The 18,280-nt window shown below is 34.7% G+C and overlaps 1 protein-coding gene across 8 annotated transcripts in view, besides 1 other annotated feature; it reads right to left on the minus strand.

Annotated features, from left to right (window-relative positions):
- Window positions 5,387–18,280, minus strand: part of COL11A1 (collagen type XI alpha 1 chain) — a 232,050-nt gene continuing 219,156 nt past the window's right edge. For all 8 annotated transcript variants that reach the window (NR_134980.2, NM_001190709.2, NM_080629.3 and 5 more), the window contains 8 exons: window positions 17,780–17,833; window positions 17,637–17,672; window positions 17,491–17,544; window positions 15,721–15,970; window positions 12,113–12,225; window positions 10,611–10,679; window positions 8,597–8,830; window positions 5,387–7,079 (listed from right to left, as the gene is read on the minus strand). Coding sequence is in view for 7 of the 8 variants with exons in the window: in NM_001190709.2 (NP_001177638.1) it covers window positions 6,933–7,079; window positions 8,597–8,830; window positions 10,611–10,679; window positions 12,113–12,225; window positions 15,721–15,970; window positions 17,491–17,544; window positions 17,637–17,672; window positions 17,780–17,833 (957 nt within the window). In the remaining variant the exon portion in view is untranslated. The remainder of the gene's footprint in view (window positions 7,080–8,596; window positions 8,831–10,610; window positions 10,680–12,112; window positions 12,226–15,720; window positions 15,971–17,490; window positions 17,545–17,636; window positions 17,673–17,779; window positions 17,834–18,280) is intronic.
- Window positions 8,286–9,485: an enhancer, noted in NCBI's record as "P300/CBP strongly-dependent group 1 enhancer chr1:103344928-103346127 (GRCh37/hg19 assembly coordinates)". NCBI's record gives its function as "activates an origin of replication core promoter dependent on BRD2, BRD4, P300/CBP, MED14 and CDK7 cofactors, with strong dependence on P300/CBP, by STARR-seq in HCT116 cells {active_cell/tissue: HCT116}" and the evidence as "EXISTENCE:reporter gene assay evidence [ECO:0000049][PMID:35650434]".

Here is an 18,280-nt window from a genome sequence, read left to right on the forward strand (position 1 = left end):
CTTCCTGCTGCTGATGAAGACCTACTCGAGACTGAGCAATTTAAGAAAAAGGTGTAATTGGACTTACAGTTCCATGTGATTGGGGAAGCCTCACAATCATGGAAGAGGGCAAGGAGGAGCAAGTCATATTTTACGTGGATGGTGGCAGGCAAAAAATAAGAGCGCTTGTGCAGGGGAATGCCTCTTTTTAAAATTATCAACTCTCATGAGACTTATTCACTGTCACAAGAACAGCATGGAAATGACTTGCCCCATGATTCAATTACCTCCCACCAGGTCCCTCCCGCAACATGTGGGAAGTCAAAATGAGATTTGGGTTGGGACACAGCCATACCTCATCATTCCACCACTGGCCCCTCCAAAATCTCATGGCCTCTCATTTCAAAACCAATCATGCCTTCCCAACAGTCTCCCAAAGTCTTAACACATTCCAGCATTAACCCAAAAGTCCACAGTCCAAAGTTCCATCTGAGAATAAGCAAGTCCCTCCTTGACTATGAGTCCGTAAAATCAAAAGCAAGTTAGTTACTTCCTAGATACGGTAAGAGTACAGGCATTGGGTAAATGCAGCCATTCCAGCCAGGTGTGGGGGCTTACGCACTCTGGGAGGCTGAGACGGGCGGATCACAAGGTCAGGAGTTCGAGAATAGACTGGCCAATATGGTAAAACCCTGTCTCTACTAAAAATACAAAAACTAGCCAGACGTAGTGGTGGGCATCTGTAGTTCCAGCTACTTGGGAGGCTGAGGCAGGAGAATCACTTGAACCCAGGAGGTGGAGGTTGCAGTGAGCCGAGATCACACCACTGCACTCCAGCCTGGTGATGGAGCGAGACTCCATCTCAAAAAAATAAATAAAATAAATAAATAAAAAATACAGCCATTTCAAATGGGAGAAATTGGCCAAACAAAGGGGCTATAGGCCCCATGCAAGTCTGAAATCCAGCAGGGCAGTCAAATCTTAAAGATCCAAAATGATCTCCTTTGACTCCATGTCTCGCATCCAGGTCACACTGACGCAAGAGGTGGGCTCCCATGGTCTTGGGAAGCTCCGACTCTGTGGCTTTGTAGAGTATAGCCCTCCTCCTGACTTCTTTCACAGGCTGGCATTGAGTGTCTGCAGTTTTTCCAAGCACACAGTGCAAGCTGTCGATGGATCTACCATTTCTGGGGTTTGGAGGACAGTGGCCCTTTTCTCATAGCTCCACTAGGTGGTGCCCCAGCAGGGACTCTGTGTGGGGGACTCTGACCCCATATTCCCTTTCTGCACTGCCCTAGCAAAGGTTCTCCATGAAGGCCCCACCCCTGCAGCAAACTTCTGCCTGGGCATCCAGGAGTTCCCATACATCTTCTGAAATCTAGGCAGACGTTCCCAAACCTCAATTCTTGACCTCTGTGCACTCACAGGCTCAATACCACATAGAAGCTGTCAAGGCTTGGGGCTTGCACCCTCTGAAGCCAAGGCCCAATCTCTACATTGACCCCTTTCAGCCACAGCTGGAGCTGCTGGTTCACAGAGCACCAAGTCCCTAAGCTGCACACAGCATGGCGACCCTGGGCCTGGCCCACAAAACCATTTCTCCTGCTCTGCCTCTGGGCCTGTGATGGGAGGGGCTGCCATGAAGATCTTTGACATGCCCTGGATACATTGAGAGATTTCCCCATTGTTTTGGGGATTAACATTCCTCTCCTTGTTACTTATGCAAATTTCTGCAGCTGGAATTTCTCCTCAGAAAAAGGGATTTTATTTTTTTATCACATTGTCAGGCTGCAAATTTCCTGAATTTTTATGCTATGCTTCCCTTATAAAACTGAATGCTTTAACAGCACCCAAGTTACCTCCTGAATGCTAGTTGCTTAGAAATTTCTTCTGCCACATACCCTGAATCATCTCTCTCAAGTTCAAAGTTCCATAAATCTCTAGGGTAGGGGCAAAATGCCACCAGTCTATTTGCTAAAACATAACAAGAGTCACCTTTGCTTCAGTTCCCAACAAGTTCCTCATTTCCATCTGAGACCATATCAGCATTTTGGTCAAAGCCATTCAACAAGTCTCTAGGAAGTTTCAAACTTTCCCACAATTTCCTGTCTTCTTCTGAGCCCTTCAAACTGTTCCAACTTCTGCCTGTTACCTAGTTCCAAAGCTGCTTCCACATTTTCAGGTATCATTTCAGCAGTGCCCACTTCACTGGTATCAAGGTACGGTATTAGTCTGTTTTCATGATGCTGATAGAGACCTACCCTAGACCAAGCAATTTACAAAAGAAAGAGGTTTAATTGGACTTACAGTTCAATTAAAATGGGCTTTAATTGGCTGGGAAAGCCTCACAATCATGGTGAAAGGCAAGGAGGAACAAGTCACATCTTACGTGGATGGTGGCAGGCAAAAAATGAGAGAGCTTGTTCAGGGGAACACCTCTTTATAAACCATCAGATCTTGTGAAACTTACTCACTGTCACAAGAACAGCGTTTGAATGACTTGCCCCTATCATTCAATTGTCTCCCACCGGGTTCTCACACAACAAGGGGGAATTCAAGATGAGATTTGGATGGGGACACAGCCAAACCATATCCCCATGGTTTTGTTTATCTCATACTTATAGTATTATAGACAGAACTACCATTATAATGTTATTGTAAAATAAGTCACAGTTACTATAGCATGAAACATTTCTGAAATTATTTCACGTTGTGGTTTTAGGAAAGAGTTAACCGTGGATTTGTAAATTTTTTTTTATATTGTTTCTTTTTTAACCCTGAACCATCTCCTTCTAAATATTGACAGTTGGATTTATTAGATGAATAGTGAATGAGGATTCTGCATGGGTTGCTATGTACAGCTTACTGAACTTGGAATGGTTTAAGCGAGATATTTTTCTTTAAAAAATTTTCTGTAAATAATTCTGCAATCTATGGATCTCCTGACTGCAGCTGTACTGAGCAATGGTTAATCATACAGCCAGTACAGGGATATGAAACTAGCAAAGTACCAAAGTTGAGAGACCCCAAAGACCTATTAAAATCATCCTCTGGCAAGTAAAACACATTTTGGTATATATAGAAAAAGAAGATTTGATAAGCTATGTCTGGTGAATTCAGACTTGCTGGATTTAAAATGCCTTAGGCTGCTGTTCTTTTTTGGTATCTTTTGCAAATCATTTGTAAAGTTTGTATGTAAGTCTCTTTGATGATTTGGGTCTCTGTGATCATGCAATTTGTATAATATTTACTTTGTTCAAATGAAATCTTTATAAAAATTATATGATATTGGGTAGCACAGGTGTTACTAGCTACATTTCAGAAAGGGACTTATACTGTGGTGATAATAGCAGCACAAAGAAATCTAGAGTAGCAGCAATTTCTTTATAGCTGATATATGCCAGATTTTGTGTTAGGTAACTCATATGTTTTACAGTTATCCAGTATGAAGCCATCTATTTAACATGAATCTCATAAAGCTTAAGCTCCAGGACACTTCTTTTGCATGGGCTCCATTTAAGACCCTGGGAGGTCTCCTAGAAATATGTCTGCATGGTCATATTATTAGTAAAATTTGCCAGAGTAAGATTGACCATGATTAGTTAAGAACGTTGTTTTACCACTGCAACTACTCTTTGTCATTTCGCCTTTTGTTAGGTAGAGTGGAAGGGGCCAGCAAGGAGAAAATTCAAATATAGATTCATTTATTTGGGGTTTGTATACTATATTTACATGATGGGGTATAATTATACAACCTGTCATTATTTTATGTATATTAATGCCGGCAATCCTAGTGTAAATGGCTTTCTGGAATAACCCTGTCATCCACTGATATAGTTGGGATATGTGTCCACACTCAAATCTTATATTGAATTGTAATCCGCAGTGTTGGAGCTGGGACCTAATGTGGTGTAATTGGACCTGGGGGTGGATCCTTCATGAAGAGTTTACCAGCATCCTCTTGGGCTGTTTTTGTGATAGTGAGTTCTCATGAGATATGGTTATTTAAAAGTGTGTAGCACCTCCCCTCTCACTCTCTTTTGCACCTATTCCAGCCATGTGAGACGTCTCATTCTCACTTTGCCTTCTGCCATGATTGGAAGCTTCCTGAGGCTTCTCCAGAAGTAGAAACTGCTATTCTTCCTGTACAGCCTGCAGAACCATGAGCCAATTAAACCTATTTTCTTTATAAATTACTCAGTTTCATGTATTTCTTTATAGCAATGGAAGAATGAACTAATGATATGTTATGATGATCACAAAGAAGACTGAGTTTGTACCATGGCATCCATGTGTTTTATGGTTCCCAGAACATAAAATCTATAGGCAGTGGAGGAGAAACAAGATTTGAAATAAACAGAATCAGAAGCTAGTCTGTGGAAATTTCTCACAAATTTTGTAGTGCATATGAAATATATGTAATAGAGATTTTCCTAAATTTTTAAATAATCTAAAAATTTTATAATACTTACTTACCAATAACAAGACATGAAACAGAAATATTTCTAAGGTATCAATAAGAAACATTTTTTCACCTTGCATATTAGAGTATCTTACTCTATATTAAGTTAAATTATGAAATCTCTTATAAAGAGGCACTCAAAGAGACTGCAGCCAAAAATATAATATTAAAAAATCACAGAAGTGTTTCAGAAAGAAAAAACATTGTTTTCCCAGATTTCCTGTTTTTTTAACTTTTTAATAAAATTAATAATTTGTTGTAATATCTTTACTCATTATAGTCACTTCTGTACCTTGTGTTTGTAGTTTTATTTCTTAAAGTTAGATCAAATTTCATGTGCATTAAGTCCATGATTTACCCTGCCTTCAAGGTCAATACTGTTCTTTGTATTCATATGAATAACATACCTGCTGGGGCCAGGATTAAAATGTCATCTAACAAGTTTTTTCTATTCTGGTGAGCTTTCTTTTGTCTAGATTACATCAATCATAAGGGAGAGAAAAAAGTCTGACGTCCTGAAGAAGACTATATCTATATATGGAAAGAATATAAAAGCATAGACATTCAATTATCTATTCATTCTATTGAGTGCCAAATTAAAGTTTATTTGGTTTAAATGGATAACACTGCATCCCTGATGCAGGCTAATATGCAAAATATTCTGTTATTGCTATACTTTCATCATTATGTAAAATATGTAATTACAAAAATATCTCTTTGAAATTTTAAGTATAATCTACCTTTATTTTATAAATTCAGTATTACCATGTCCTTTTCACTATCTTATGCATGTGGGGGATTTAGACAACTTATCTCTGAATGGTAATATGTTTGTTCAGAAGTGTAAAACTGTTCTAATCTGGATGGTCAAGAAAGAATCAAAAGCTTTATCTGAAATTGAGAATAATTTGGAACCTATTTAAGAAAGAAAATGACCAATCCAGGTAGCCAAGACTTGAGTTTATTTATTGGATTCATATCTCCCTTCTTAAAAGGACATTTACAAACTCGATTTCAAAAATAAAAGAAATTCTTTATGACAAATTTCACTTTTTAATTTCAATATTACAGGTATGTTCTTTTGTCATAAATTATCAGTTGAAACTGTTCCAGTGAAATCTGGTATCAATTAATTTAACACTTTATATAAGAAATAAAACATTTATTTTCAAGTCTTACATATATTACTTAAAATAGATACAAAATTCAGTTTTTAATTTTTAAATTGTATTGCTATTTCAAGCTACCTTAAAGTAAATACCTTAGTGGAAAAAAAAGTTTAGATTTTCCTGAATGACTTAAAACAAATACTCTTAATAACAGTCCACCATATGTTATTCATTTAGCAATTAGGTAGGTCAAATGATTTATAAAATTATCTTGAAAGGAAAAAAGTAATATTTGTTGGGCAAGTAAAATAATTTTCGAGACTGTTATAATATGCAACTTAGAATCAAATTCAAGAACTTGATTGATAAGAAAATCTAACATTGCACAAATTCATAAATAATTGCTTAATTTCCATCTTTAATATTAACCTGCATTATTGAAGCACACTGAAAACAAGGAGATGAGATAACGTAGAAAAAAAGTATACATATGATTGTTTGCTTGACGGAGGCATTGATTTGTTAATATACTTTCTTACACACATTTCCCTGTCCAAAAATATAAACTTGCTTGTTTTCCATATATACAAGTATCCTGTGAAATCCTGGATTCTGAGAAGAAAAAGTTTGAGGTATAGCCTTGAATAAAGCATCAAAATGCATAATATTTTTGGCTGAAATTCAGCAAAATGACTGTCGGCAGAGAAGAGTTGATCAGAGTGTGCTTCCAAAAGTCTTCCAGATTTTTGCCCTCTGAGAATTTTGTTGGCGACATCAAATAATTGAACTCTTCAACATCAATATATACAAAGGCATTTTATTATTAACCAAAGAAAGGGACTTAGAGTCATCAGAAATTACAACTTTATTTTTTCATAATACATATATTTATTGCCATCAGAGTTCTGCAATTCTCATAAAATTAGAGTCAGATGGAATTCAGGGACACGTGCAAGTTTTGGAAATGGACACAGATAACAGTATAGAACTGTACACAAAATAATTACAATTTATTAAACACACTGTTTTAGTACATCCTGGATGGATGAGAATGAGCACCATATTTTTTATGAATATATATTTTTCTTTTTTTGTTTTCTACAGCACCAAAGAAATTCAAATAGGAAAAGGAGAGTTGAGAATTGGGAATCAAGAATCAGCCCTGTTTCCATCTTAGCCACACCAACTTATATCTTTATGATTTTCAAAGCTTTTGCCATGTGATTCTGCCCCCACAAAGGCATCGGTATTTCCTAAATGGTACCTGTATATGCAGCGTTGTTTTCTATACCATCCTTATTCAAAACTTGCATGTGGCACAAAATGGGTTGGTGGCACCAAGGTATATTTTCTGTTGATTTGATATGTTCTTTGTCTTAATCTTAGCCAAGAAAACAAACAGGACCAACTTCAAATCCGAACTTCTGATTCTGATCACCAAAGTCATTGATCATGACATCAACAATAGGTACTTGATCAATTTTTGGTGTATTGATTTCAATGACAGTCTTTTCATAGCCTTTTCTGGACTGTAAAATAAAGCAGAAATAAAAAGTTATACAATCTTTTAATATTTTTAAATGCATCTTATTTTTTCTTGGGCTTCTGAGTGGAGGTAAGAAGCTGAGAGAGAAGAGAATAGAAAAACAAATTTTCTATTATCTATGTAATAATTCTTATCACTGTATAGTTCTAAATTTTGAATATTGATTAGTACATTTAATACTTAGCTGTAATTACTTAACTATGATAGTGCTATATATTTTGTAATTAAAAAGAGTCTTGAGTTTCATAATAAATACAATTTAATATGAAAATTGATGTTGGTATTGAATCCTCATATATATATATATATATATATATATATTCTTTTTCTTTTCTTTCTTTTTTTTTTTTTGAGATGAAGTTTTGCTCTGTTGCTCAGGCTGGAGAGCAGTGATCTCAGCTCACTGCAACTTCTGCCTCCTGGTTTCAAGCCATTCTCCTGCCTCAGTCTCCTGAGTAGCTGGACCTACTGGCATGTGCCACCATGCCCAGCTACTTTTTGTATTTTTAGTAGATGAGGTTTCACTTTGTTGGCCAGGCTGGTCTTGAACTCCTGACCTCAGGTGATCTGCCCGCCATGGCTGCCCAAAGTTCTGGGATTACAGGGGTAAGACACCACACCCAGCCCCTCCAGTATAAATAATACATCTTTACCATTATAGTTAAGATATACATAGTCAAATTCTCTTACAGAAAAAGTTAAATACAGGTTCACAACTATAACACACAAGGTCAAATGTCAAAAAAATTTCTTCTGCTATATGTTAATTTTATGAATATTTAACAATAAACTATATTGGAAAAGCTTTTCCCAACTCTTGCTCCATTCATTTGCTTTACTCTCTCTTCTTCATTCTACTTGCACTCCACTCATTTTGATGAAAACATGAACTTACTTATTTACAATTGTGACTTCTCTTCAGTCATCAATACTCAGCTAAAGCAATGAACTTTTTAGGGCACCTATTTATTATTTTCTTATGTAAAATCTTATGTGTGTGAACAAGGTAGTTCTATAAGATAGAGATAACAATAATGATACTGGATCTCAAACTGATATAGTACAAATTAACAAGCTTCTTATAAACAAAATATAGGGCTAAAAATTATTGATATTATAAATGGTATAATGGTGATTCCTTTATCTGTCATTTTAAAATCAGCAATAAGGAGGCAAATGAAATAAGTGTTTTTATTTTCTTTTTCATTTTAGGAATAACTAGCTGTGATATGATTCAAATGTCAGAATAAAATAACATATAATCCAAGATTACCTTCTGTATGCCTTTAAAAATGTTTCAGAGTGTCTATGTGCATAACTGTGTGTGTGTTAACATTACTGGTTTCTCACATACCATAGTTTAACATGTCAAGATTAAGCAACAAATGTTAATAACAACTGACGTCCATTTCATGAGAAAAATCTGGCTAAGGACCGACTGAAACGGTGACATGCTGCCTATCATCTCTGTGAAGGGAGACAAGCAGAACTTATACTCACCGCACAACCATCATACAGTGTTTTGATAAAAGGATTATTGTCATAGGACATCTCCTCATCATTTGATCCCAGGAAGCGAAGTGCTTTGTCATAACTTCCTGATGACACATCATACCAGGCTGCTGACTGATGACAGTGGTAGGTGAAATTTTGCCGAGCAGAGGCAGTCAGAAGTTTCAGGAATGTCATTTGCACCATATTGATGGAATTTCCTTCAACATCTAAGTATGAAAGCTAGGAATAAAGGAATAAAAAGACACCTAATGACTCTTTTCCTCTTTTATGCTACAAAGAATTAAATCACTGCAGACAGTGAACTGTGATGCCAGAAGCATGTAGATGAATCAAAAGACCCACCTTAACCTAATGAAAAAAAGTGTACATTGAGGGTCAGAAGACCCAGAGACAAGATTTTATGAATTGTATCCCACCTAAGTTACTGTAGCCACTGCTTATCTTTGAAAAAACCACTTTATCTCTAAGTCTTAGTTTCCTAAACAGTAAACACTATAAAAAATGCTTTAGTTTCCAAGAAATGTTTCAATATATTTCTGTATCTTTTTGAAAAAAAAATTGGTAAAATAATGGAACAATGAAAACCAAGGAATCTCAGAATAATGCAAAGATTAGCTGGTTTTATGTTGTTTGATTTTGACTATTCCTTTCAAACATTTCAAAATGTATCAACTTTACCCAAATCTGTAAACATGTTCCTACACTTTTCATTTTGGGGCTATAGTCCTCAAAGGTTATTAATATTTTCAGAAATGCCTGTTTATCTATTTTTAGATGATGTGTGTATTCAACATTGTATTGCCAGCAGCAGGCATAATGTGCAAGACAAGGCAAGTTAATATTTGTTGAGTCAATACTTATTCTGAAATTATAGCAGGAAAATAGTCTCAGTTGTAATTTATTAGCAACTGTCTCATATCATCTTTATAAATTGTCTTATTTTTGGTAATAAAAATATCTGAGTTCAGCTGTAACATATACACTTAAATTTGAAAAAAAAAAGGTTAAGATGTTCACCTAGATTATAGATTAGGTCAATGTAAAGGCAGTTATTTGTTACTTTCTTCCTTAAAACAGATTTTACTTAGTTCTTACTGAATAGTAGGTCAGATCATGAGTATTCTTGGGGGTTGAAGAAAAAAATCTACTGGGAAAATTCAATCCACACACATAGAGTTCTATCTGTATATATTTTTAAACTTATACAAAGATAATAATGTAATATGGATATTTAATATGCAACTTGAAGACTGTAATAGAGAATTATAACTCCAGTGGAGAGTGTCAATAAAAGTGGTTAATATGCATGAGTTTGTATAGAAATAATAACTGTATAAATAATCATAAATGGAAAATAATAGCTTTTCAAAGAAAATTAAACAACTGAATAATTATCTGGATAACTGGAAAACACTTTAAATTCAATAACTTCTAAATAAAATACTTTAAACACATGTATATGATTAAACACCTTTTAAAGATTAATTTAATTTTGACATCTAATCTTAAAATATCTTTAGAAAATTATTGAAATGAACTGGTAATTGTATGGAAATCTTTAAATTTGTGCCAGAACAATCAGAAAAAGTTGCACATTCCAACTTATTGATATGAAGAATAAAGAAGGAATTAGGTTTCAAGCAGACAGAAAGTGAAATAATAGGAAGATATTAAGTAGATATTATATTCTTTATACCTGATATTTCTAACATAATCAATTTTTATGATGTCTATCTCAGGTACTTAATAAATTGTATGCATGATTTGATCCTTGTTTTCCATAAATTTAGCATATTTCCATTTACTTTTATACAAAAATGTTAGGTTGCTTTAAGATACCACAGTGGTCTAAGAGATATTAAGTGGAACAAACTAGAGACCACAGGGAATCCTCATTTAGCATAATTTAGACTTTCACTGTTAAAGTCCAGAAATACATAATCAGAATGTCACTTCTTGAGTTCGTGAAAAATCGTTTCATGTTGAGGTAATAACATACCAGTTTTCCCCTCTTAAATTCACTAAACCAACTTCCTGGTTTCTCCTTTGGCCATGATGAAATTCTTACCTGTTGCAAAGGAACAGAAAAGTTAGTGAGTAGGTGAAAATTTACAATATAAACAGTATTTTTATATACATATAATTCATTTTCAGTAAGACTAAGAAAATAAAGAGTGCTTAAAATCGTTTTAAAATGACACAAATTAGATTATACAAAATGAGACAAAGAGAAAAATTTGAGATAGATCCTGTACATTCTATGTAGTGAAGATTGAGTCATTTCCTTTTTGTTGTCTTTATCAGCTCTAAAGGAAAAGGGGAAAGACAACCGGGTATAGGCATACTAAGGGTTATAGGGGACATTGGTGGAACACTCAGAAACCCTTTGCAAAGGAAATCCTCAAAATGTCAGTCAGCTTCATCAAGCAAGGCAGGTACCATCTTCACTCCATAGCCAAGGAACATGTTTGAAAGTATTTAGCCAGTAGCTAAGGAGATATACTGTGTGAAAGGCACTGATTGGAAGCAACCTGAATTACTCCCTGCTGGTTAGAATATTTAGAATCTTATAGATCTGCATTTATTGTTCTGCTTTGTGAAGAACAGCAAAGGGTATATAAGTCTTCACAATAGGGAACTCGAGTTATCTGTGTAAGAAACAACATTTTCTGTTTTTCCACATTTCTCTGGAGGCTAGGGGAGCTTTACTGTGCTTCATTACATGCCAAGTAGTGTTGGAAGATGGAAGTTGTTTTTTCTCCTGCCCTTACTACCCACTCTTTACTCAGAAACTTAACTTTTCTCCCAAAACCATTAGTCACACATAAAGCTACTTGTTTTGCCTTAAGGAGTTTCTGTGCCTCTATTGTCCACACCATTTACTAGGAAGAATGAGATTTATTACATGAATACCAATAAAGACAAAATGTCCACTTATAAAATGTTTGGAGAATATAGTTATGCTCGTGAACAAACTTTCTTTACATTAATGATTTGCATTTAGCTTTGAAGACAGAACTCAGTGTACTGGTAATAATGTTAGGTAAAAATTAAAGAATTTGTTTAAAGAAACTAAATATTTAAAAAATATGTAAGTGCAGAAAAGACTTGTATATAAAAGTTTAATTCTTTATAAAATTAGATATTTTGGGTGTAATATGCAGCTGTGAGGTCTCTGATGTGGTAATTGGGCAGAAGAACACTTTAGTGGCACTAAAATTTGAGATTCAGCTGTGCTGTGTCATGGAAATCCATAGAATTTTAGTGAGCAAGCAGGTGCAGAAAGAATACATCTGGGTAAAAAATAAAGAAGAGAAGTATTTGTTAACTCTGTGCATCAATTTGGTGCTTATTCATGTTTATGCAAATGAAGTACTCTAATTATTTTGTAAGAAAAGCAGATAAATGAAAATATGACAGTATAATTTTCCTGTTTAGTTCAATATTGCAAAACATGGCAGGAACTGTCAACATTCACCACCAAAACAGATTGGTACTTACTCCCTCAGATTTTTTGTCTGGATAAATGCAAGTCTCACCACCAGATGTGAAATTACAGTAAACTTTGAAGGAATCTCCTGAGCAACCTTGGTTAGGATCAATCCAATATTCACCTAGAAGGTAGCAAAAAATATGTCATATAAAAATTCATTGACATCATTGTTGAATGCATTAGATGTCAAATTTTGTTAGAAAGAGAAATAAGGAAAATACATATTAATAGATCTTTTGCCTTTTAAGCTTTTGGGCATATTGGGGTACGGTTTTTAATAAAGAGTGATACTTTCTCTTGTCTGCCTCAAAGCTTTGCAAATGCCCCATATGTTCTACCTGGAATACCTTTTTAAAATTCTTAGCATGCCTATCACTTTTTGGTTTCAACTTAAATATCATCTCCTCAAATATTAACATTCCATTTATCCCTGTGTAATAAATTGCATGCATATTGAAATAAGATATACTTGACTCCAAATCTCATAAGTATTATTTACTACTTAAGTAATCTGAGTAGTGTAATCAATATATTTTCTTCCTAGTTTATTCATTTGTAACAGTGGAGGTGATATCGTATCTACTTAGCCTCAGAGATCATACCTCTGCCTTATTTTATAAAAAAAAAAAACTTCTTGCAATAAATGTACTCTCTCTTTGAAGGGGGGTCCTAAGAAGGACTACTTTATATTTTAATGCAGCCTGCTATTAATGCCATTGCTGAAATGTTGCAGAACACATTTTATTATGTGAATAATCATCACCATTCATTTGGTGTTATGTGAGTAAGCATGGAAAATAGTGGGAGTAACAAAGTTATTCTTTAGATAACTGACAATACGGCTTTAGTTAACAAAAGTTACTAGGAGCCAAAAGTGATATACATGTAAACATTACTTTGCTTCCTTCTGTTGGGACTCAGAAAATGATACCCCAAAGTGAAAGCCGCTGAGGCAGTTTTTCTCTGACCTCTGCCCTCCTGTCTCTCATCCCTCATTCTCCCTCGAGGCAAGTCATGGAAATTAGAATCCCTCCTCCCCAAAGTGGGTCATAGAAACCAGAACCCCTTTTTTGCAAAGCCAGCTATAAAACCTAAACATACTACTCTAACTGTTATAGTAGGTAGTCAGACATAAACAGGGCAGGAGAGCCCTGCCAATCCCACCAGGAATGTCAGGCGACCATCAGATGAAGGTCAGGCAGTTGTTAAACTGTCTTGCTAAAACAATTGGTTGCAGCTGGTGCCAGGGAATGGCAGTCTTCCTGTTCCTCATAGAAAACACCTGAAACTGGTGACCAGCAGCTTCTTTATACGATCTCAGGAGGTGGGCTACTGGGCTCAAGCATGTGCACTAAGATGCAAATGGTTGGAGTTTAACTGGTAAATAACCTTCCTCTGGGAACACTAAACTGACGCCTCAAGTGAGCATGCGCACAGCTCCAGGAAACAAAATGTGTGTGTGGCCCCTCCCAAGTGCTGGCAGCCCACTGCACTTGTGGGCAGCCCACCCCAAGGGAGGAATCAGGCGAGAAGAGATGCAAACCTCAGAAGCATGCCAATGTAGAAAACCCCAAGTCAAAGGTCAAACCATGCACTTGAAGCCCTCCAGTCGTCCGCTTGACCCTCTTCCAAGTGTACTTTACTTTCTTTCATTTCTGTTCTGAAACTTTTTAATAAACTTTCACTCCTATAACCCTTAGTATACCATATGGATTTGCCACTGTTAACATAACCTTCACCCACCTTTCTGTGTAACAGCTGGCCATAAAGAAATTAAAACCCTTATTCCAGAGGGGTTCTACCCCGTACCTGGGAGGATGGAATACTACAACACAGGCCAGGGAGTATCTGAACAGAAGGCCTTACTAGGTTTCCCTACTCGGATTAGTATCATTAGCTCATACCCTTTTTTTGTCCAATATTATATTGCATTTCTACACAGCTGTCCCTGCCTTATCGAACCTAAGCATAAAATCAGATAGCTTCCTCTGTATCTTTCGAGCTTGAATCTGAAGGCGCCTATGTTATGTTGAACTATAATCAAATACATTTTTAATATTTTTCTCTTGTTAACCTTTTTTTTTATAGGGGTGTCAGCTTTGACCTTTATACTGAGAAGGAAAGGAATCGAATTATTTCTACCTTTATACTTCCAACTGTTTTTCATGCTGCCACTTCATTTGAAATATTTGAATTATATAAGTCCACTGGTTATGAACTTTTAATATTTTAAAAGCTCAAATTGCTTATCTTGGTGCTGGAACTCTAAACAATGCAATATCAACCTGCTTTATCTTCTGCTACTACTTGTATATAAACAGGAAAAGTATTCTAATAGTCGCATAACTTTAATATCTTTAACAAAAACATCTATATTTTTTCAGATTATACCATTAATATAATCATGTCTGAAACAAATTAGAATTCCCAGGAAAAAAATACAAGGAAATAAAAAAAATCATCTAAGATTTTACCAAGTAGAGATAACCACTGTAAACCTTTGATATATCTTACATGGTTTTTAGGAGTATATAACATTGAATTATCTAAATCATCTACATCTTTTGCTTAAATAACACCAGTTAAAAGTAAATCTCCTTATAAATCACTAAACTAAATGTATATTTTTCAGATAAACATATTATAAACATGAAGATGTTAGATACCAGTTTGTATAGGAACGCTAATAATTACCTGTGTTTTACCTTTAACAGGCTATGCTTGATTAAGATAAGAAGATTTTTGTGACATCCTTTTTTTTATGCTGGCTGTTTCTGAACTACACTGAACTTTTCTATCTGCATTGAGTTACTTAGATCACAGTTATAACTGACATTATATGATTGGTAGTGCAAAACAATATTTTCTACAGAGTAAAGGGGAGACAAAATAGTTCAACATGCAGTGGGAAATTTAAAAATCAGATGAAGATCTGCCCCTTGCTACTTTAATAATTGTAAGAGTTTAGTCAACTAACTTAGCAACCTGAAACTCTTTCTTTCTCTGACCAATAGGTATATAAAGGTTTTGTCAAAGAGTTGGTATGATGAATTATCCTAATTGTTATTAGTAAGTAAGCTATTCACAGCTGTTTGGAATATCTGTGGCTCAATTAAAGATACATTTTTGCCCCAAGCTATCCCAGTTCTTAATATTCTGTTCACCAAATCATTGCCAAACTGATAGATCAAATATACATCAGTTATGCTATTTACACATATCCATATATTCATATTAATCTAAAATAATAATCATATTAATGTAAGTATTCACATTAACATGAAGTTAGTAATCATATTACAATATACACATGTGTGTATACACAGTATCCATTCTGTGATAGTTATTACAAGCAAAGTACATTTGTGTTAGCTGTAATCATCCAAAAATGATCTTGTCATAATTTAATAAAATCCCATTTAACAGACAAGGATTTTCCAAAGCAAATCTTGATTTATGCAGTATAAATGATTTTTTCTGTCTAGAAGATAATTAATAACTGTTTCATTTTATTTAGAGACTGTATTAAACATTTAACTAGAATGAATGAGCTGCCAATGCACCTCAGAAACTCAGGGGCTCGGTACATTTGCTTTGTCATGTATTATTTACATACCATCTGGGAAGTCAGGATGGCTGAGTTGCAGGTCTTTACAAGTTCGGGCTGGATTGGTCTGAGTACCCATTGGAAATTTCATATGCTCAATGTCTTGTTTCAGGGAATTGAGGGAACCAAATATTTCTTCCATTCCATCCGAGTAATCAAGAATATTATCATCTGCATCTGCTTGCATGCCTTCAGTATGTCTTCTCGTTTTTTTGGAGGACAAGATTGGTAAAGGCTGAATGACTTCACCAGGTGGACCCTGTAAAGAAGATAATGTGAGTGCAATTGTTTCATAAAGTGGAATATTCTGCAGATATTAATTATTACTGGTTATGTTTTTGTTATAAGAAATTAGAGTTGGTTTAGCTTTTCATTAGCTACAAAATTTATGCTATAGGATAAGTTTATAAATATATAAACGTCATAGATTCTTCTATGATGAACTTGGTGGAGATATTGAGGTAGGTGAATAAGTTAGATGATTTCTCACCCTTTATCTATACAATAATATAGCACAGATTTGTGTAGATATGTTATATATGTTAGTCTCTTGTTTATTAATTAGTCATCATTTATATGCCCTAACTCCACAACTAGATTGTAAAGTCTCTGAGGATTAGAACAGCACTTTAAAGCTATTGCGCTATCTAATCAACTGTGTATTATATTTGATGATAATTTATATTATAAAACATTAAACTTTAAAAAATATGTACACATTAGTTTGCTTCAAATATGTGTGACTTAAATCATTATAAATTAACAAACTTAAAATCAATGCAACCCGACTTGAATTTACATTACGAGCAGAGCTATATCAAATAGTTATCATATTGTCATGGGTTGAATTGTATCCCACAAAAATTTGTAATGTTGAAGTCCTAATTCTCAGTATCTCAGAATGTAATCCCATTTGGAAATACAGTCACTGAAAATATAATTAGTTAAGATAACATCGCTAGAGTGGGCCCTAATCCAATATAAGTGATATTCTTATAAAAAGGAGAAATTTAAACACAGATACACCCAAAGAGGGAAGATAATGTGAAGAGACACAGGGGAAAGACAGCCACCACAAGCCAAGAAGAGAAGTGCAGAACAGACCCTTCCGCCATGGACCTCAGAAGGAACCAACACTGCTGACACCTTGTTCTAGGACTTCTAGCCTCCAACACTGGGAGACAATACATTTTTGTGGTTTGAGCCACCGACTCTGTGGTACTTTGCTATGGTAGCCCTAGCAAACTAGTATACATATAGTTGGAAAGATTTTAGCTCAAGAAAGAAGAATAACATTTCTTTCACATGGACCTATATTTTAATTCTACCATTTAATTAGTTATGTGAAGCCTAGAACATTTTAGTATTAATAAAGTGGTAGCTATTACTATTGTTTTTATTAGTATCTTTATAATGCACTAGGAAAAAATGTGAAGCATCTGAATTTTTGTCATTATTCCTAGAGTCAAGTAAAAATGTATCTTTACGGCATAAAATAAGTTGGTTTCATTAACGTGACAAAATAGTATATGATTCTCTTGAAAAAATAATAAAAACAAGACTATAATATACAATTAAGGCATTTATATTTGAAGAGTGAAATCAATTAAAATTTAAGTCTTGGCATGTAGATTTGATTACTTAAATGATATAATGTTTCCTATAAAATCAGCACTTTTGGCAGAATGTGCTTTTTGTCTATCTTATAAGTTCAGAGAAATCATTGGCAGCTTCCAGATGCAAACTGTCAGAACATCACTCTTGTTAACATATACTTACTGGAGACCCAGGAGGCCCTGGAAGACCACTGTCACCTTTCTGGCCAGCGGGTCCCTGTTAGAAAGAAGAGAGAGGACATAAATAAAGAAGAGGCAATTAAATAGGTTTCAATGCAAAATTAAATTGTCAAAGGGAAAAGTACTTACAGTAGAGCCTTTGTTACCCTTTGGGCCTTGAGGACCCTACAAAATGCAAATGCAAAAGCACAGATAAAAATCTGGAGCATTTGTGTCTCTGTTATATTTGTAACTTAACCCTACCTTATAAGGTTATTTTGTCTTGTACTTACTGGTAAACCTGGAGGACCAGGTGGACCTAAGGGACCAGCAGGACCAGGAATTCCCTAGAGAGAGAATCAGCCAATTTAAAGGGATTTTCTCAGCTATTTCATTTTCATGTTTTCATAACTTTTCAATATTTTCATAACAGCATACACTGTAAAATTTAGAGAATGCAAAAATATTTATGAATGGCTTAAACATTTTTCCATGGTGAATCTAAAAAATAACTTGTGCAAAATAATCAGGATTTTTCCTATGTTGCTACAATATCAATGAGGTTTTTGTTTTCAATCTATATGTGTTAATGTGTATATTCCTTTATCCCTCAGAATATGATTTACAGGTGATGGGAATTTAGTACATGTTTGTTTAAATAATACTCAACTGTAATTTTTATGGTTTCTAACTTAAATATTTTAAAATTTATTTACTCTAGGGCTGAATAAAAATATCTTTTTAAGAACATTACTGACTTAAATTAGAATTAAGACACTCTAAATTCTTTCTTT

The sequence above is a fragment of the Homo sapiens genome, chromosome 1 (assembly GCF_000001405.40).
Source record: "Homo sapiens chromosome 1, GRCh38.p14 Primary Assembly".
Classification (NCBI taxonomy): Eukaryota; Metazoa; Chordata; class Mammalia; order Primates; family Hominidae; genus Homo; species Homo sapiens.